The sequence below is a fragment of the Homo sapiens genome, chromosome 1 (genome assembly GCF_000001405.40).
Source record: "Homo sapiens chromosome 1, GRCh38.p14 Primary Assembly".
NCBI classification, from domain to species: Eukaryota; Metazoa; Chordata; class Mammalia; order Primates; family Hominidae; genus Homo; species Homo sapiens.
Window position 1 is genome coordinate 80790110 of NC_000001.11, and position 23202 is coordinate 80813311.

The window sequence follows — 23202 nt, forward strand, 5'->3', positions numbered from 1 at the left end:
CATCTGATCTTCAGCATAGTTGATAAAAACAAGCAATGGAGAAAGGAATCCCTATCCAATAAATAGTGCTGGGATAATTGGCTAGTTATATGCAGAAGATTGAAACTGGACCCCTTCTTTACACCATATACAAAAATCAAGTCAAGAAGGATTAAAGACTTGAATGTACAACCTGAAACTACAAAACCCCTTGAAGAGAACCTAGGAAATACCATTTTAGACATGGGCCCTGGCAAAGATTTTATGCCAAAGATGCCAAAAGCAATTGCAACAGAAACAAATTGACAAATGGGACTCTAAATGAACTAAAGTGCTTCTGCACAACAAAAGAAACTATCAACAGAGTAAACAGACAACCCATCTCACATAGGTCAGAATGTCTATTGTTAAAAAAGTCAAAAAATAACAGATGCCAGTGAGGCTTCTGAGAAAAGGGAATGCTTATACACTGTTGATGGGAAAGTAAATTAGTCTAGCCACTGTGGAAAGCAGTTTGCCAATTTCTCAAAGAACTTAAAACATAACTACCATTCAACCCAGAAATCACATTATTACATCTATACCCAAAGGAATATAAATCATTCTACTATAAAGACACATGGATACATATGTTCATTGCAGCACTATTCACCATAGCAAGACTTGGAATCAACTTAAATGTCCATCAGTGGTGGACTCGATAAATAAAATGTGGTCCATATACACTATGGAATACTATGCAGCCATAAAAACCATGAAATAACATCCTCTGCAACACAGAGGAAGCTAGAGCCCATTATACTAAGTGAAATAACACAGTAACAGAAAACCAAATACCACATGTTCTCACTTATAAATGGGAGCTAAACATGGACACAGAGAAGGAAACAGTGCACACTAGGGACTACTTGAGGGTGGAGGTTGAGAGGAGGGTAAGGTTGGAAAAACTACCTATTGTATACTATGCTTATAACCTGAGTGATGAAATATGTACACCAAATCCCTGCAACACACAATTTATCTATAGAACCAATCTGCACATATACCCCTGAAATTAAAAGTAAAAAAAAAATGACCCAGATAAGTCATTATATTCATGGTAAATCACTAGAATCTTTCTATATTAACATTAATATACTATCAATATTTTATAGATATTTAGCTAGTTACTAGGTCTAATTATGCTCCCTTTCCTACCCAAGTTTTCCATCAGTATATTATTTTTAAAAGTCAAATACTGGGCTGAAATTATATTCATACATATGTCAGGCCTTCCAAATTACCCAATACTCTATTTATTTTCTTTTCTTCTTCACAGGGCAAGTTCTATGAAATTGCTCAATACTCTCAATCAGTGTCTATTAACATAGTAAAATGTATGAATACTAAGTTTGATGTGAAGTTTTTAATATTATTTTTCTGGGCATTCAATTGTCATTCTTTGAATAATTTCTTCCAGATTGTTTATAATCTCTGTCATCTTCAAATTCTTAATGTCTTTGTAACAGACCTATTCACTGTAAGATTTGCTATACATTTTAGGTACTTTTTTATATTTTTATGTGCTCTTTCATTTTTTAACCTCCATTGGAATATGGATTAAGACTTTGTATTCTCCAATCTAAATATTTCTAGACAAACTATAGGTTCTAGACCTGGAATAGTGAGTAAACACATATTTGATGTTTGATTGGATGTGCTTATCTCAATAAAATATTTCTGTTTTTTTCCAACTGGATTCAAGGCAGGGGGGGTTATGGTCTCACAGTATATTTCTAGGCACTGTATAGGCACAATCTTACTGTGTATCTGTGCTTCTGGCTACCATATCCACTCTTTCAAGAAGTGAGGAAAGACTTAGTCTTAGCAAGTGTGAGAGAGGTAGAAAGATAGACAATCCACTTCAATATTGATGAAGAGGTGGATGTGATATAACAGTAAACTTAAAAGTCTACTTAGTTTCCAAATAAAGTACATGGCTACCAATGGTAGAAACAGGGAAGAAAATCAAGTGGATTTTGATTTCCCAAAATTATTAAACTATTGCTCTAGATACATAACACAAGACAATTTCTTTAATAATAGTTCACTTTGAGTAAATAAGTCTTTATTCTGCAATTTTAGAGCTACCAACGTCTTTAGCATCAATTGTAAGAACAATATTGCACCTCATAGATATTAGACAAACTCGGAATTTAGATCTTAGGTTTGCATCACATCAAATGCCTGCAGTTGGCACTTTGATAAAATAGGCAGCATCAGAACTATGATAGTTTTTGAGATATAATTAATGCTGTAGAGTTACAGTGTAACACATTAATTGTGGGAGCTTATATCTGATGAAGAAAGATTAAATGTTTGTACTTCTTTATTATCTTAAAATATTGTGTGTATCAAAATTAGGCCCTAGGCCATCTGTTAAACGGGAAAAGTGACTAGCCCTGGGCTTGTTATAATATTAATGCTATAATATCTAGAATTATTACTCCAATACATAGGAAAAATTGGTGTAATTTATAAAGAGAAATTAAGTGTTATGCTATGAATACACTAGAAACTAGTATTAATGAGGTATAACATAAGTCAAGGATACTATACTTTATATAGATGGTTGCTTGAAATTTTTAAAATGTTTTAATAAGGAACATGACTTATTTTTTAAAAGTCTACCTGAAAACATTTACAGGCTGACTCATGAATATTTAAAAAGTTGATTGACATTCTTAGCTTATACATTTTATGTTATGTTTGCATTCCAGCATCTTTTACATTACAATATTTGAAATTATTTTCAGTTGTTTTTCTGAGCAATCCTGACTGACAGTAACCCTAATCTTGGCTCTCTCCCATTATTTATTCCTAGTACCTGTTTGCTTCATTGATGCCAGAGTGCCTTTCTGAATTGCGAATTTCATCATCTTACTTTATTCCTTGAAAGCTTCCACAACAACCCATTGCTTACACAGTCAAGTCTTATTTCTTAGCATTCACTGCTTTCACAGGCTGCCACTGGTTTTCTGTCCTGAGCTAGGACTACTCCTTGAGGTAATATATTAAATAGACACTCAGTCTACCACGTTCACGGTCTTCAGTTTGCTTCGAAATTATGTTTCCACATGCTTTTGTACAAGCTGTTGTTAACTCCCTTAAATACCTTTTTCTAATCCCACCTTGTAGGAAAGTTCAATTCCTTCTTCAAAGCACAAGCAACAACTTCAAAAGCGAAGCCTCCCTTGACTTCTTCTCCCACTTCAAAGTGGCATTAATGACTGACCACTTATCACTCTGAACTACCACAAAACTGCATATCTTTATACCTATCTATTGATTGATCAGTCATTGCATATAGTCATTCCATGGTGAGAGCAATATAAAGTCTGTAAGTCTTACAGGGCCCTTGAATTACTCATTTAAAAGTAATTTATTCGTTTCACTTTGTACTTATTATATATATGTTTACTAGGTGACCACTGACAGAAAATTATTTTCCTAAATTTGCACAAGATAGGTAAAAGGGGAGCATATGTGCCCCCTTTGATGTACCTCGTAAGATCTCTGCTAGGCTGGGAAATTATTGTGCGCACCCTTTGTATCTTCTTGAATGCCTGAATCTTACTAACATAGTCACTCAGCAGCTACTTTTTCTGCTTATTAGCCTTCTAGAGCTACCTAAGTTCCTAGTTGCCTTCGAATGTGGACGCTTACTTCCTATTATTTTTCTGAATTCTTGGTATAATTTTAACCTATTCCTTTTGGTCTAATTTAGGTAGAGTCCATTTTTGTTGCCTGCTACCAACTTCAAATTGATATGCAAGCTTAAGAAAAATTGTGAGGCGTATGTTAGGAGATACATTGACTTGTCCAGGAAATTGTTGAGATCTGAGACAGTTGGCTAATCTCTTCACTAGAGGCATAGTAATATCAGATGCAGACTGGCTAAGGGACAAAAGTATAGACTCTCTTTAATTCCCAAAGTAGAAAAAAAAGCTATATTAACATTGCAAATAATTAAAAATTATTTATCTTACAGTTTTGGTAACATTGACAATTATAACGATGTATTATTTTAATTCAAGTAATGGAGAAGAGAAGTAGGTTTTGCTGAAGCATTATGGTTTAATTTTAGATCTGGTGGTTTGGAAGTGCCAATGGCACTTTATGTAGGTAATTAGAAGTATGCAGCTTGAATATGAGTCTAAAGCTCAAGAAAAGGGTTGGAGCTCTGAATATTGGCTGGAACATTATCAACCTGTAGGTAGTAAGTTGAAGGCACTGGCTTATGAGAGCGGCAAAGGAAGTTGCTTATAGATAGCAATATGAATGGAAACAAAGATACCAATATTTAGGCTGGGTGCAGTGACTCACACCTGTAATCCCAGCAGTTTGGGAGGTTGAGAGAAGGGGATCACCTGAGGTCAGGAGTTCGAGACCTGCCTGGCCAACATGGCAAAACCCTGTCTCTACTAAAAATACTAAAAAATTAGCCAGGCATGGTGGTGTGTGCCTGTAATCTCAGCTTCTTGGGAGGCTGAGGCAAAAGAATTGCTTGAACCCGGGAGGCAGAGGTTGCAATAAGCCGAGATCACACCATCGCACTCCAGCATGAGTGACAGAGAGGGACTCCGTACATTGTGCACATGTACCCTAGAACTTAAAGTATAATAAAATATATATACATATAAAAGATACCAACATTTAAATGAATCTTTCAGAGATTTATATCTTTTTACTGAGAACGTCTATATCTGGATATTTATTTAAAAGAAATAACCCTAATTCCAGAAATAGTTCTATGCCCAAAAAATGTCCATCTCAGAGACAATTAAAATGTCTGCACAGTCCTTCTTTTAGAGGTGTTTGTTGAAATTCACAAGGGGCGCTCTCTCCAGCTGCCAGGTTTATCCATATGACACAAATCAGGCAAATCATATCTTCTTAAAATTTGAATAGAAGGGCATAGAAGCTGAGAGTTGGGAGTAGAATTTATTTCAAGAGCTGAGTGTAGGAGGAAAGAAAACACCATTTTCTATGGATAGCTTCACTCGGGACTGTCCAGTCTTAGACTTAACTAAAAACTTACACTTTTACTTGAATTGGAAGTGGCATCCCAACATCCACCTAAAATATTCTTTCTTTTTAATTTTACTTAAACTGAGTCAATTTGATTTTTGTTACTCGCAACATTATCTTAACTAATAATGCAGTGTACATTATTTCTAATAGAGAAAAAATGTTAGTAGCCAAACAGTAGTAGAATATTTGTATATTATAGTGTACTTGCTAATCAACAATTTGTAAATTATTAAAAGTAATATCTATAAAGAGCAACTAACAACCTGCAAAAACTTGTTATGCACAAATGTTAAAAAAATTAAAAATTGCTTCTATAACATAAGAATAATAATAATTTTACAGCCTATACAGAGGAACAAAACACAAATGTTAATAAGAGTTGTTTTGGAAAAGCTTTTAAAAGTTTAAGGTAAAAACAGCTGGCCAGGAGTGATGGTGCAGGCACCACCACTTATTTCTTTCTCAAATCTGCCTCTATCTACTATTTTCTATCTCCCCTTATGTCATTCCAAACATCAAAGAAACCTTCTCTATGAAAGTATCTTTACTAGAAATTTATAAGGAGATAGAGGGAGTATGTCATATTGTTACACTACAAATTTACCTTATATGGTGTTGTATACTCAACATTCGCATTCTTTAGTGTTCTATAGACACTACCATGGTTCTACATATTTCTTTATTCCTCTTGCCTTCAAGACCTAAATAATGCCTAAATACTTGCATGTCTTAAATGAAGAATAATTTACCTTTTTTTTTTTTTTTTTTTTTACCTTTTCTCTGGTTTACACAAGACATTAAAATCTTACCCCTACTCAGTTGCCTTACTGAAATATTTTCCAAAAATAATAAACTCATCTGCCTAAGAAGAATTCAGATGACAATTTTAAGATAATTTTAAGAGACATTTTTAACTTATTAATCCATGTATTCATTAAAGTACATATTTATCGATTTTTCTATTTTTAAAACTTGATTTATATTGGCATTGTTATGCCCTATGACATATCATTTATACACCAATTATAGTTATTTTAAAGTTCCTAATGCAATATTTGGATTGTCTCAAAGTCTTGATTTTACACTGTTTATTTTCTTGACAATGGAGTCATTTTCTCCTTTTTTTGTGTGTGTATCTCATAGTTTTCAATGCTCGATATTATTTAGAAGAACTGTAGAGAGTGAAATAAATAATATTTATGCCTGGAAATGAGCATATTTCTTCATTAGACTGTTAGTATGTGGGTGGTGGAAAATGAGGGGAGTGTAAATTAATCTATGTGGAGTCGCTCCCCCTCATCTGGGGGAGACACATTCCAAGACCCCACTGGATGCCTGAAATCACGGATAATGTCAAACTCTGTGTATGCTATGGTTTATTTCCTTTACATACATACTTATGATAATGTTAAATATATAAATTAGGAACACTAAGATATTAACAATAATACAGTAGAACAATGATAACAATAAACTATAATAAAAGTTATGTAAATGTGGGATCTATCTGTCTTTCTCTCTCAAAATATCTCAATATTTTCAGACCATGGTTGACCATAGGTAACTAAAATCATTGAAAGTGAAATCATGGATGAGGGGAGAATAAAGCATTCTCATAGCGGTCACCTGCTGCTCCTTGTGTTTAGCATAGGACTTGGTGTGCTGACGGGTTTTCTCGGTGTTTATGCTCCACTCTGTTTTATAAGACCCTGAACATCTGCACTACAGAGATAGGTCTCCCTCCATCCTTTCATAGTTCTACATCAGTAGACTACTACCGTCTGTTGCTCTGTGTCAGGCTTATGGTAGGGCTTATAGGGGAGCTTCTTGGTTCTCTTGGTTGAACCTCAGTATTAGGCAGGTTCTGTACACCTAAACTGCAAGGGTGGGACTTTCTTTGTATTCCTTCTTCTCTCTTCTGTTAGGGTTCTCCAGAGAATCAGAACCAATAGGAGAGAGAGAGAGAGATTGATTTTAGGAATTGGCTCATGCAATTATGGAGGCTTAAAATTTTTCATGATCTACCATTTGCAAGACGGAGAACCAGAAAAGTTGACAACATAAGTCAATACAATTCCAAAAGCTCGAGAACCAAGGATGCAGTATAAGTCCGGATTGAGTTCAAATGGTTGAGATCCAGGAGCACCAATCTCTAATAGCAGAGGGAAATATGCACGCCCCAATTCAAACAGAGAAAGCAAATTCACCTTCTCTCTTTTTTGTTTTATTCATTCCTGCAACAGATTGGATGATCCCTTCTCACATTTCTAAGGATGGTCTTAACTCAGTCTAATGACCTAAATGTGAATTGTCTTAGTCCTTCTTTTTGTGATATCACAACAGAATACATGTGACTTCATAATTTATGAAGAACAGGAATGTATTTTTCATAGTTCTGGAAGCTGGGAAGTCCAAGATCAAGGTGTCAGTTGGTTCGGTTGTCTGGTGAGGGCTGCCCTCTGCTTCCAAGACAGCACCTTGATGCTGCATCCTTTGGAGAGAACACAGGCTATATTCTCACATGGCAGAAGGCAGAAAGGTAAAAGGAACAAGCTTCATGCATCAAGCCTTTTATAAAGGAACCTAATCTCATCTATAAGGGAAAACACCACATGGCCTAATTTCCTCTTAAAGACCCCACTCCTTAATACTGTCCCATTGACAATATCTGGATTTTGAAGGGGGCACATTCAAATTATAGTACTAATCTCTTCCAGAAACACTCTCACAGACACATCCAAAAATGATGTCTGATCAGCTATCTGGGCATCCTTTAGCCCAGTCAAGTTGACACATACAATTAACCGTCAAAACCCAACCTTAGCAGCCAAACTTTGTCTTGTATCTGTGGATGGTCTTGGGTGGTAGAAAATTTCCTATCCTTCCCTCAGTCGTAGCAGACATCCACTTATATCAGTACTAGATTTTGTGCCCAAGTGGGTTTCCTGTCCCTTTCCTAGGGACAGATGTATTTGACTTCTACCTGTCCGTCAACAGCAGAGCACCTTTGCCTGAGACCAGTGGCAGGAGGGTTTCCTGCTGATTCACAGTAGTTGAATATGGTTGATGCTACTTGGTGCAATAGTTGTTAGACAAACAGAAAAGTTTCACTCCCACCTCAGAGGGATACAGTTTTGCCTCATGTGAAGAAGAGTCTGAGAAAGTGAGCAGGGTTCTGTACCTGTCTGCCCTGAGGGGAACTTTTTTCTTTTCTTTTTTTTTTTTTTGAGATGGAGTCTCCCTGTGTTGCCCAGGCTGGAGCGCAGTGGCGCGATCTCGGCTCACTGCAAGAGGGAAACTTTCTTAATTCTCTGGTTCTTTCCCTCTCTGTCAAGATTACTGGATGGAGGGCCACAGAAAAGGGACTGAATGAAGGGAGACTTGTTTTGTGTGTCTGGGGCTCTTGGGGATTCTGAACTTTTCCAGGAGTCTTCACTTGGTTTTTAATAATTAGTTAAGATTTAGCCACTTTCTTATTACCCACTTTTATTGTGGTTGCCTCTTCCTCCCATATTCTGCCCAAAGTAAAAGGGTCAGTATATCCTGTCTCCTCAGAGGGGCTCAAAATTAAGTTTGCCTGGTTATCCTGTTACTTCAAAATTCTGATGTTTTCAATAAAAGGTAAGATTGTATAGACTATCCAGCCTTTGTGTAGTTAGCATCAGAGAAATGTATTCCTGAGTTTGTACACATTCTAAGTGGAAGCAGAAGTCATAACATACACAGAATATTGCCATTTATTATTTTTGACTCCAAAATGTATTATAAAAATATTTATAGGTAGTAGAACTGGATTTGATACTTTCATTTTAATGACTGCATTGTAGTGCATAAATCATAAAAATAAACTAAGGTTTTTATATTAACATATTCACCTAATAAATTAAATAATTTATTATCTAATGGTAAAACGCTATATTAAAGTTAACTTTAAGCCACTAGCAAATGTAAAAAGGTTGGCTTTTTTTAAAAAAAGTTCAGTTACCAAAAGAAAAAAGAATTATATTAAATTTGCAGAATCAAAAATATCCCAAGGTAAAGAATATTTATTATACCTAAGTTAGGTAGGAGGTACAGATTATAGGAAATCTTTATGTCACTTGTTACACTAGAATTGATGAACATAGAAAATTACAAATAAAATGTATTTTGAAAACTGTCAAATTTAATGATTACATATTTTATGCCATTACTGGCAGTGATTTCATACAGTTCTACAGCAACCTCAATTCTTCCCCCATCAGAAGAAAGAACTCAACTGAGGGGCATAAGGCAGAAGGAAAGACCAAGGCAAGTTTTAGAGCAGGAGCAAAAGTTTATTAAAAATCTTTGAGTAGGAATGAAAGGAAGTAACGTACACTTGGAAGAGGGCCAAGCAAGCAACTTGAGAGATCAACTGTGCTGTCTGACTTTTGACTTAGGGTTTTATATGATGGTATACTTGCAGGGTCTTTCATCCCTTCTACCCTGATTCTTCCCTTGGGGGGCGCTGTCCACATGCACAGTGGCTTGCTAGCACTTGGGAGGTGAGCATGCACAGTGTATTTACTGGAGCTGTAGGCATGCTCACTTGAGACATTCTTCCCTTACCAGTTGATTGGCCCTGGAAGGTCATGTACCAAATAAATTCCACCATTTTGCCTGTTTAGCACACATGCTTGAGCCCACTTACCTACCTCCTGAGATCTTATCAGGAAGCTGCTGATCACCAGTTTCAGGTTTTTTTCTGTCTATCGGGAGGCTGCCTTTCCCTGGCACTGGCTGCAACCAATTATTATTTTAGAGAGACAGTGTAACAACTGCCTGACCATCACTTGGTGGTTGCCTGATATTCCTGGTTGGGGTTGGGAGAGGGGCCTCTCCTGCCCTACTCATGTCTGACTAGCTACCTACTGTAACAATACTAGGCTCTTTGCTAAGACTTGGAAGCAAAAAGCTTTTTAAATCATTTTTTTTCTGTATTTAGAGCTTATGTACAATGATATAAATCACAGACTAAACTAAACAAGGCCTTTATTGAGGCGTGCCATTGGAGTTTAGTTTTAAAGAATGAGTAGGCATTTGTCACATGCAGAAGAAAAGATTACACTCTTAAAAATGGTCACAATGCAAGCACATGTGAAAAAAATTTCCTGAATTGAGGAGGCATCTTAAAGAAGTAACATCTACATTTTTGTCACATTTTTGTATGTATTTTTGCTATTAGTATAAAATCTGGAAGCCCACTACTCCCAGTGCTAGTGGATAAATGACTAGACTAAGACTCACAAAACCATGGTTTTTAACAGCTTTAAAGGGATCTACATAAAACAATCAGGGCACATAAAAGCAGCAATATCTTATATGCTCGTATTTTGCATTGGTAACATGTCTGTGACTTTTATTAAGTAAAGAAAGCCAGCAAGTGATTACTCTGATAAGAGTAAAATAGCTGATAGTTGCTAGGCTATGATGATATAACAAATAAACCTGAACATCTGAATAATTCTAAGTGTTGATGAGGTTAACATGGCCTACTTGTTTAGCTCTCATCTAAATGGTAGCTAAGGGATCTAAGCTGATCTACCATCATACAGCCTTTCACTTCCAGTCTAGAAGACTAAAGAGTTTGTGCATGAAAAAGAAACACCCATACTTGACAGGCTTGGAATGGAAGTGACATATCACTTCTGCCTACTTGTCACTGATGAGGACCAGAAACATCTCCCCCACCTGATGCATGGGGGCTGAGAAATGTAGTTTCATTCTGTGCCCCAGAAAATGAAACAGTTTGGTGAACTCAGTATATTTTTTTCTATAACCACCAATTCTAAAGGAGTCTATAGAGTAGTTATATAAATAAAGCATAACAAAGAGTAAAAAAAAAATAACTTAGGAACATTCATAATTCCACTTTGAGAGAAATCATTATTTCCATATTTTTCCTCCAATATTTTTTCTAAGCATATATTTTTTCTATTATATTCTATGAAAAGTTTGGGGTAGCTTTTTTATTTACCATTTCCCATTGTATGATATGTGATGGAATATATTACATACATGTAATTTAATGGTTTCGTGGTATCACAGCATATGTATATACCATCATTTACTTAACTGTACTTATCATTATTTGTTTTCACTGTTTAGTTATTTCAAAATAAATCTCCCTATAGGAATATTTAGATGAATTTCAGATTTTGTCCTTGAGATAAATTCAGAAAAGTGAAATCATTCTTTCAAAGCATATTGATATTTTTAAGGGCATGTAAAATTATTTCAATATTGCCTTTTAGAATTTTCCATTTCATAATCCCACCAGCAGTAAAGGATAGAGTGCATTTTGCAAACTTCTTGTTAGTTCTGACTCAGGAACTTGATACTGAGAACTAAAAACATCCAGCCGATATTACAGAGCAAATAAAAACACAAGCAAGAAGAAAATGAAAATATGAGCTCTTTTTCCTGTGTAATGAGCATGAACTTGATTTTCCTAATATAGATGTTCTCCTATGATCTGATTGCTCTTCACCAGACCTTCTGAGTGACTGGATTTGTGAACCATCACTTCCTATAATATAATCCAATTATAAAAATAAAATCTAAGATTTACAGTTAATACCAAACTTATATGTCATTATTATATTCACTCTCTCTTATTCTGTGTATATGCACATTATTTGTTGGGGTTGCAGAGGGAGAGTAACAATTTTGACTCCTCCATTAAATATCAAACTTCAGAAATTCCTCTGGATTGCATCACTTTGTTATAGTAAACATTTTGCTTTGCAATGCTTCCTTCATGCATATTGCTAGATATGTCACACTCAATATAGACATTATAAAGAAATGCTTATGTTTTTAAGTAATCATAATGTTTGTATGCTTTCCTGATGGAGGTATAGTTTTTCTGCCCTTGATGATGATTACAAGTTAGTCAACAATTAATAATGTATGTGCATCTGTTCTAGTGAGTACACAGAGTAAGAGTGTGTTTAGGCACATACTAAATGAATTCAGCTGTGATACATAGACTCCTTTCTTGAATTTCAAGGAAAGCATTCAAAAAGATGGCATTTATCAGACAACTGTTAACAATTCTTGAGACACAAGATTGTTTTGTTGGGAGAAATATACACCCATCCACATTATTTCATCAACTTTGATTTTTTTTGCTTTTGAAAAACCCAAATTTTATGCCCAGAAGTCATCATTAGGTGGTTCTTCAGTAAGCCATTGACAATTAATATATGAAACAAAACAAATTGGCTCCAGGACCTACATAGAAAGATCCACCCCTTCTACACTTTTCTAGAGAGTCTAATCATTAATAAGCAGCTGTTTTGAAAAATGCATTTATAGTTTAATAGCTGTAACTTATACTTGATTTGTCAAACACCTGCTTCCAAATGGGCAGCAGGATAGCAGCATACACGGCTATGTTGCTATGTGTTTAGAGGGCAAAGTGGAGGAAAATCCCAGTGTGATGCTGCTGGGGCATGTTCACAAATGGCTCAAGTCGGCCAAAAGGAAAGGTTGCAAATTATGATCCGAAGGAGACTGATGATGTTTGTGGAATATTCTCTCAGGGTGCCAAAGAGGTGTTTGTTCCTGAGGCTTAAGAATTATTTCTGTGGAAGGCTTTTATCATTAAGGTTGATGATCTGCCTGCAACCAAAAAGTAGAGAAAGAGAGAGAGATTCTCATAACAGCACAGTGATTTGTATTCTTTGCATGACAAAAACTTTCATCATTGATATCACTGACAGTTATGATTTGTTAAAGTTTTCTTCAGGGTATTTGTTACAAACTTGGAATTTATTGTTTTGTGATTTGCATCTTTATTTCTAAGGTGTACAGAATCTGTAGCATTAAGGCGCTCTACAATACTCTACAAGTATTATACCTACGTTACATACAGTAGGAGACATTTTTAAGCACAAATCCTTGGTGTACAATAAATTAGTTCTTTTGTAAAAGGCTGGCTTTTCTTTTTATGAGGTATTAAATAAGGATGGCCTCGCCAATGCAAAAACATTGACTAAATTGGCACATAGCAAACACAGTCCTGTAATTGAGTGTTTCATTTAGCAAAGTGTATCACACATGCACAGGGGCTGTATGTGGGATTTTTAAAAAGGTGTTTGGGGAAAACATGTAAAATTTCTAACTAAATTTATGAGTCTAAAAGCTCTTGTAAAATATCACTTATTAAAGGAAAAAAGATGATAAACTTTTTAAAATTATATTGAAATCGATCAGAATTTTGTTTATTTTTATTTTCTTACTGACTTGGGAGAATTCTCATTAAGTAATTTATAGCATAAAATTGAACTTTAAAGAGAATGTTTTCTACTCTGAATCCATTTTCAATTATTTCCCCAAGCCCCACCTAATAAGACAATGAAAAATGCTATGGAATTATATCCCATACAGTTTGGGAGTTCCATTTGGTTCTTTAACTACCAAGTATGTATGTCTTCCACAAGGAGTATGCAATATAGTGACCTGCTCAGGTAGAGTGTTTAACTTAAAACACTCAGGAATTTTTTTTAAGCGTTTAACTTAAGACACTCAATCAAAGACTGGTGAAGTTCCAAAATTCTTAATTTAGGTGACAGTTTCAGCAAATATTAAATAATAATTTTATTTAAAAGATAGACTACTTGGAGACTATCAGCAGAAGTGTCATGTCCATCATTTTTGAAGCTTTCACTTCATACTATACAATGGGAAATCACCTATGTCTAACCTTTGTTGGAATGCTTTATGATTAAGGAAGCTTTTTGTGGACTAGCAAAATATAGTAAAATAAAAGTAACTTGACGATTTTATTCAACGTTCTTTGTGGATTCCCTAAATAATAAATGTTGAATTTATATGAATTTCTATATAAGTAAGAAAAATCCACTGGGGATTTCCAACTTAAGCCAAAGAGATAAGACATGTGTCACAGTGGGAAAGGCTTGATTCTGAAGTAGAAAACCCCAGTTCCTTATTTCAGCTTTGTATGTCTTGGAGTATAATTTAATGTCTGTCTACATGTCTCATTTTACTTACAGCAAAAGAAGAGATTCAACTACATGAACATTTAGAGCTAAAAGCCTGTACGGGTTACTTTTAACCTCTCTCTCTCTCATATATATATATATATATATATATATGTATATATTACTATATATATTTATACACCTATATGTATGTGTATATATATATGTATGTGTGTGTATATATGTCACACACACAAAAATTACCAAATATCTTCCACCCTCCAATAACATGAGTGATTTCAGCTATTTTTCCCATTATAATTGAGGACCACCTTTCCTCTCATCCTCCAGATACAACTTTAAAAAAAAAAATATATATATATATAATTTCATATATGAGAGCCACTTATGATGATGACTCATCTAATTCAATAAGATTTAAAAGCACAGTGCCTAAATATTTTATGTCACTGAAATAGCTACTATTAGGCTGGTGCAAAATTTATTGCGGTTTTTGCTGTTGTTTTTAAAGTCTAAAAATGCAATTTTGCACCGGTCTATGTACACCATCAAAGGTAACATTTAAATTAATTGGCATAAGTTCTTCTTTTAATAGGTGAGATGTTTGTAAATAGTAAACTTGTAAATGGAAATCTTCTAAAGATAACCCAAAAAATGCGTGGTATCCATTTATGTGAGTTACAATAATATTTAAAGGCCACCTGAGGAAATTGGATGTTTCTTCATAATTAAATTACAAGAAGACTTTTGCACTTCAATTTTTATTTCTGTTTATTTGTATTACAAATGCTGTTTTTAATCATGAGTGTGAGTTCTTTAAAAATGACACATACATTACAGATATGTCTGGCAAACTTCACTTGTTCCAAAATATTATTTACTTAGGCTATACGTTGTTTTATTTATAACTTCTCAGCTAAGAAAGGTTGATTATTGTCCAGGAGCAGTGGCTCACGCCTGTAATTCCAGCACTTTGGGAGGTGGAGGCAGGCAGATCATGAGGTCAGGAGTTCAAGACCAGCCTGGCCAACATAGTGAAACCCCATCTCTAATAAAAATACAAAAATTAGCCAGGCATGGTGGTGGGTGCCTGTAGTCCCAGCTACTTGGGAGGCTGAGGCAAGAGAATTGCTTGAACCCAGGAGTCAGAGGTTGCGATGAGCCGAGATTGCGCCACTGCACTCCAGCCTGGGTGACACGGAGAGATTCCGTCTCATAAAAGAAAGAAAGGTTTGTAGCATTTGTTGGCATTGATGCCACACATAAGTTGGTGCAAAATTGCATTTTTAGCCATTAAAAACAACATAACAATATCAGTTTGTAGCAAAACTGATATTACAAATTATTTAGAATTAATTTTATATAAAATTATGCTGACTTTTTTCTCAAGAATTATATATCTTAAGAATGAACTATCTAAATTTGGTAGCTTACCATTTAGTTAAAAAAAAAAGAATGAAAATTCTCAAAACCAAGTTTGAATAAATGTGCAAATGTATACAATGCCTGAAAAAGGAAAAGGCAGCCCATGACTGTCGGAAGCTTGCCTGGCCCTAGAAGTTAGGCCTTAGTGTTGCTAGAAGCTGACTCTGTACTTAGAGCAAGGTCTTGGTGATCACCTTTTGAACATAGACAACTTCATAGGTCACCAACATCAGAAAAGGTCATTCTGTGGCTGTGATGAAGTGAGTCAAAACCTAGGCCACTCTGTATTTATGGACGAGCACAAAAAAGAACAAGATCATTGTGCAAATCACACACACAAAAATTACCAAATATCTCCCACCCTACACTAACATGAGTGATGGCAGCTCTTTTTCCAATTGAGGTCCACTTTTCCTCCCATCCTCCAGATAAAACTTAAGATACTCAGTCATAGACTGTCCCCACTTCCAAACAGCACCCAATCTAAAGTACTTCTTCCTTGAATACTCCCCTGAAATTACCTAACACATTTCAAATCCTGTAACTCCTTTATAACACCCTCTGACTGAGACAGTTCACAGTTCCCCGGAGAAGTATGTGTTCCTCATTACAATACTCAAAAAACCCAACTCTATTTGACTACAGTTATGTTCCTGGTGGTCTTTGACAAGATATGCATGCATTCTGTAAGGTCTATATTGTGAGTGAAAAATAAAAGCCGTCAAAATGTATATTAATACGTTTAGAAACAAATACATAACTGAGTAAAATTCTACATCTCACAAAATTTCCTAAAAATATTCCATATAATTTTATTTTTGTAAACATAAAATTAGGACCCCAATAAAGATACATTCATTGTTTAACTTTATCTCTTCATTCAGAGGCAAATTTCGTCAACATTTATTCCTCATCTTTTATCTGCCAAGCAGTGTGCTAGGGACTTTTATGTAAATGTTCTATTTAACCCTCAAAGCAGCCTATAAGTTACATGTTTTTTATATTGTTTAATCTCTATAACAGAGTACTAAAGTTGGCGTTTTAGTCTCATTTTGTCTCTAGGGCAATATTAAGTGGCTTGCCTGGCAGTGAGAGTCTGAGGCAACAACCAGAACCTTAATTCCCAGTCATGATAAAAATAGAAAATTAATAAAGCTACACTTTTATTCATTTAAGTATCTTTGTTATTCCTATTTTGTGCCAGGTACACTAAACAATACAGATGAAAATCTCTCTTGTCATGGATCTTACATTCTAGTGAGGCCTGATCAAAGATAAACAATACAAATAATTAAAATACATAGATGACAATTTGTCCTGTAGAAAAAAAATAATAATGCATTAGGGAAGGGTGTTAGAGATGTGGAGACAAGGGTTTCAATTTTAAAGATTATGTTTAGGAAAGCTTTCCTGAATGAAACCTGAAAAAAGTGAGGGAGCAAATTATAAAGATATCTGAGAGAAGCATGCACCAGGCAGGGGGAACAGCAGGTACAAAGAACTAGAGACTAGAGCATGCCTGATGTGTTCAACGAACAACAAAGAGACTTGTGTGTGGAGGGAACAAGAGCAAGTGGGGAAGTACAAATGATGAGGTCAGAGGAATGGCGTGAGGACAAACACAAATGGAGCCCCGAAGACCAGGAAGAGGGCTGGATGGTAGGAATAGAAGAGTATCATGAACTGACTTTTATTAAATGAGATCTCTTTGACTGCCATTTTGAGAACTGTCTGAAGGGAGCAAGGTTTGAAGCAGGGAAACCAGGTCATTTCAATAATTCACATAAGAAATGATGGCAACATGAACCAGAGTTGTAGAGGTAGAGGTGGTAAGAAGCGGTTGGCTCCTTGGAGTAGTATTTTGAAGGTAAAGAAGAGAGACGTATTAGAGGTTAAGTCATTTGCAAGGATAAAGTGGCCCAAGATTTGATCCAAGATTCCCAGATATTCTGACTGTGGAGTCTGACCCTCTATTGAACTATGTTGTTATAAACCTCAAAGAACCGTTATGAAATATTTTTAATGAAAACTTGCTTATTTTCAATTTAATTCCTCGAAACAGCCATTTTATAAAGTTCCCATGATTTTCCATATAACTACTCATGAATTTAAAAAAGATTGAAAAGTGATCTCATTTGTTAGAAACGCTGAAATTTCACCACTAAGAAAAATAAGCTCCTATCAACTATGTGCTCTTTCTTCAATTAGCTGCCAATTTAATTATTTTCCTTAGCAAACAGACATTTTAATGGAATAATTATGCTTTAACATAAGTCAGAATATTTTTTCAGTGTGCACTCTGCATCATTCTCAAGTAACTTTTGGTAGACTTTTTTTCTTTTTATCAGTTTCCAATTTTGTAAAAAGACTTTTTAATAGGATAAATTCTCAAATTTTTATATACATATATTAAAAAGTCAATGGGCAATTCATACTTTTTTGCCCTCTTTAAAGATAATTGTTATTACCAATCAGTTTCCTAGGAAGAAACATTCTTTCTGTCAATTCATCTTCTCCATCTGCTTGCACATACTGCAAAATTATAATCATCCATAATTTGTGATAAATTCCTGCCAAACGTTGCTAAAACAATTTGGAAAGTGCCAGACAAGGCTACTAGCCAATTTACACACATTGCAGATGCTTTTGTTCTTTATGCTTTTCTCCAGAAAAGTTGAATGTGAAAGTTATTTTTGATGGACTTTTTATTTTAATTCCAAAGTAATTGTGACAGTGAGTTCATTTTTGTCTATCTAGAACAATGACTTTTTTTTTCTACTAATGATGGGAACGCAATTGATAGGGCAGTACATTTCAGAAAACCATAAATAAGACAAACTCAGAATTTAATGAGGAATACTTATGCTGTAAGCTCTTTAATGACCAGGCTGTGTCTCTTTATTTTATAATCTCCAAAACAAAGTATAGTTCTTGGTATACAAGAACCTTGCTTAACCAGAGATTCTAGCAAGAAAACACAGCTATGCAAATGCCTTGGACCAAGGAAAGGATATACTCATCTGGGAAGGTCATCATTGTTCACCAAGCTTTCAGTTCCAACAAATCTATGAATGAATAATTCATGCAGAAAATGATATTTATCTATCTATATAGATTGCCTGAACTAATCATGAAGATAAATACTATGACAGCTGATACAGCCAAAACACTTTCATGTTTTACTCTTTGAATGAAATAGATTAATGAATTGATGTCCCCTTGTTTGCTATTTCTCTGCTCTCCTTCAGAGTCAAACTTCTCAGGTTTGTCTTGAACTCATGATTTCTACAACCTATTTAATGCTTTCTTAACCATTTCCAATAAAGCTATTCCTCCTCAAGGCTCTGAGGCCATCAGAGATCTGTGTCATACTAAAGTCAATCTAACTCTACCTCTCATACTATTGACATGGCTTACCAACCATTTCCTCTAGAAATGTTTCCTTTTCTATATTTAATCCATCACATTCTTGGTTTGCCTCTTATTTCTGTCACCTGTTCTTCACAGTTTTCTTTACTGGTTCTTTCGCTTCCTCCAGATTGCCAAATTTTGGATGCTGAGATTTTCATTTTTAATGTTCTTCTTTTGTGTAGATCCATTTTCTCTATAAATGATTTTATATACACGTAAGATTTTATGTGTGCTTTATGCACAGACAACTACTAAATTTATCTGTCCAAACTTGCCACCTTACTTCACTTCCCAACTCACGTATTTAATGTCCTTCTTAATATGTTTATTGTGGCATATATAGGAATCTCAAACTGAATGTAGCTCAAGCAAAACAATTTGTTTCATCCTGCCCAGATATTTTATTTTCCTGTTTCTAAGCCTTTCCCATCTTAGCAAACAGCAGCAACAGCAGCCCAGTTCCTCAGGGGAAGACAAACAAAACTAATATGTATACTTGACTCCTCTCTTTTGCTCACTCTCATCTCATTCATCAGGAAGGTCCCTCAAAACATATATCCTAAATCCTACCACCTTTTAGTGATTACAAATTCACTATCATCTCTAGCCAAATTTACATCAACTACTAGCTAACTTTCCACCTCCTTGCTCTCCACTCTTGCTCTCCTATCATCCATCCAGCAGCCAGAATTTTGTTTCTGAGATGTTAAATGCAATCAGATCACCACCAATAGGTTTTCACAGCAAGAAACTAAAATCCAACTTCTTGCCAAGGCCCTCAAGGCCCCACATAGTCTTGTCTTTGCACAATGTCATCTTCTCCCACTCTTTTTGCTCTCTTGCTTACTTGCCCCAGCCACATTACCGTTTTGGTTTCTTAAACAAATCTGCACATTCCAGTTTCATAGCATTTGCACCTATGTCTTTTCTTGGACTGTTCTTCACACAGATCTTCAAAGAGCTGCAAGGTAAAGGGACCCTCCTGAATGCCAAATTTAAAGAACTCTACTATGTCATACACACAGCCTCTTCTCAACTATTTAAAATCATGTCACCTTCTTCATATTGTTTATCAGTAGCTAACATCACTTATTTGATTCAGCTTTCTAAATACAGGGTCTTATTGTCTGCCTACTCCACTCCTAGGGTGCAAGCACTCTTAGGGCATCAATATTATCATTTACAACTCCTATACCTAGAAATATATGACTGAAATATATTTAGCATTCTGAAAATATTTTTTTGCCATCTTAAAAGCAATGCTGGAATTAGAAGGAACTGAATTAAGTGTCTTGTGCATATTAAGTGATGAATAATTATTTGTTCATCTATTTTATCTCAATTATTTTCTATCTTAAGTCTACCTTGAGTTCTTTTATTAAACATATCTATACATACTGTGAATTTTAGAATCTACATTTATTCCTACATACACTTGAAAGAAAAGAGGTAAATTTATGTTACTCATCTATTTCCTATTATTAATCACAAACAGTTACCAACATTGTTATGAGTTGAGACACATTGTATATGTAACACAGACTGTGATTGCACTCATGTTGCAGAGGATAATCATTCTTAATTTAAAAAGATTGTAACGGGTCTTAACTCTTTTGTTATTTACATAAATAAAACAAATTTTTTTGACTGAGAGTAATTAATGCCACTTATTTAAAACTAAACATTCTTTGGCTTCAAAAGTGGACAGAGAAACCCTCTTCTAATTGTAAAATTTCTAATATCTCTTTGGATATTACAGTTGAATTTAAGACATGGCTTAAAAATGAGCTAGAATTAATCTATATAGCAGCAAAGAAAAATTAGAAATGACACGAGAAAGAATCTGGTTTGCATTTCCACAGTAATTGCTACTTAGGGTTTCTATTCATTAAAGTAGTCAGAAAAAGGGTTTGAAAGTAATTAGTAAATATTGACTTCATAATCTTGTATTTTTACTTCCTGAAAATCACACTCATCAACTTTTTGGCCTAATTTTATAACAGATAGATAGATAGTTACATAATTCTACTTGATACCATAAATATATTCTAAATAAAAATATAATCTTAATTTATAAACTTAATCTCTATACTCAAATACAAGCACTAGGTGTGTTTTAATTTTAAGCTTCTATGTATAAGATAATATTGCTGGAATAAGGGGTTATTCATAATTTATTTGCCACAATAAAAGTTGTTTATGTGAGATTTTATTGGTAGATAATCCACTCAGAAAAATTGCTAAAATTAGGCCGGGCGCGGTGGCTCAAGCCTGTAATCCCAGCACTTTGGGAGGCCGAGGCAGGCAGATCACAAGATCAGGAGATCCAGACCATCCTGGCTAACAAGGTGAAACCCCGTCTCTACTAAAAATACAAAAAATTAGCCAAGCGTGGTGGCAGGCGCCTGTAGTCCCAGCTACTTGGGAGGCTGAGGCAGGAGAATGGCATGAACCTGGGAGGCAGAGCTTGCAGTGAGCCGAGATTGCGCCACTGCACTCCAGCCTGGGCAACAGAGCAAGACTCCGTCTCAAAAAAAAAAATTGCTAAAATTAATCATATCAATGATATACATGATTGTGGTAGAGGCTTCTGGCAATAAAAATAGTTGATATGGCTTGCTATTCAACAATTTTATAATCCAATGGGAAAATAAGTTAGCCACAAACACCTTCATTAGTGAAAGATATAAGCACGTATAGTTCACCACATATAATGATAAAATAATGTCTCACACAAAGTGCTTATTATAGGCACTGTGCTAAGTGTTTTACACATATTAAATAACTGAATCTTCATTATTCCGTAAGATAGCTGTTGCTATTATTTTAACCCCTTTACACAGAAAAGACAACTGAGGCTGAGAAAGCTTAAGTAACTTGTCCAAGGTCACACAGATAGAAATACTTGCCTGGAACTCATCATATTTAATTCCAGATTTAGTGTCATTTCCCATGCCAATGTAATTCTTGTCAGTATCAATGTCATTGTATAAATGTATCCATGGAGAAGAAATGGAGAAAGGATTCACTGTAGAATGAAACACACACACAAACAAACACACACACACACACACACACACACACACACACACACACACACTGGGGCTTGTTACTGTAAGTGAATGAATACACAGACGTGCATATAAAACATTTATTGTCACTTTGGGCTTACCTTGTACCAGACATAGTTTGAACTATTTGCACATATTAACTCATATAGTCCTTAGAAAAACTCTATTAGTCACTACTATTACTGCTAAATATACGGGAGCACAGAGAAATTACGCAGACTTCCTAAGGTAACAGCTTTAAAAAGTAGCTAAAAATCAATGTTCAAATGATATTTAAAACCAATTGTCTGAATAATATCACCCAAGACCTCAAGAAAGAGTATACACAGAGAAGTAAGAGAACTGGGAACTGAACTGTGCCCCACTTCCAAAATTGAATCTGACAGATTCAAAAAGAGGTAACAAAATAACTACGAGATAGCAACCAGTGGCACAGAAGGTGAAAACCAGGAGGGTGTTCTTACCAAGAAAGCTAAGAGAAGGGAGTGATTCCAAAAAAACAGAGGTCAATTATGTCAAATGCTCCTGAGAAGTTATGAAAGGATTAACAATAAAAAAGATTGGAAACTAGTAGTGGTTACTATAGTGAAACGGCAAAGAAAAAGACCGATGAGAGCTAAAGACAAAAATGGAGTAGTGTCCTAAAGAAAGTTGATAAGGACAATTCTTTCTAAATTTTACAGAAGAGAAATGAAACAGCAGCATGAGGGAGATGTGGGGTCGAGGCAGGGTTTTAGAAGATGGTAAACATTAAAATATGTTTATTTAACAATGGAAATGATCAAAAGAGAATATAAAATATGCTATGTGAGAGATAAGGAGAAATATCAGGATTAGAGTCTATACTTGTGCAAAACATCCAGCACAATGGTTACTTTTATGTGTCAGCTTGACTGGACCCCAAGTGTGCCCACATATTTATTCAGGTATTATTCTGGATGTTTCTGTGAGGGTATTTTGGGATGAGGTTCCATTTATATCACTAGACTGAGTAAAGCATATTTCCCTGTGTAATGTGAGTGGGCCTCGTGTAGTTAGTAGAAGGCCTAAATAGAACAAAAAGGCTGACCCTCTCCCAAGTAAAAGAGAGATCTTGCCTGACTGCCTTTGAGCTAAGACTTCAGCTTTGTTCTGCCTTCAGACTTCAACTGAAACATTAGCCTTCAGACTGGAAAACTATGCCATCAGTTCTAGTTCTTTAGGCCTTCAAATTTGAACTGGGACTGTACCAGTGACTCCTTTGGGTCTCCAAC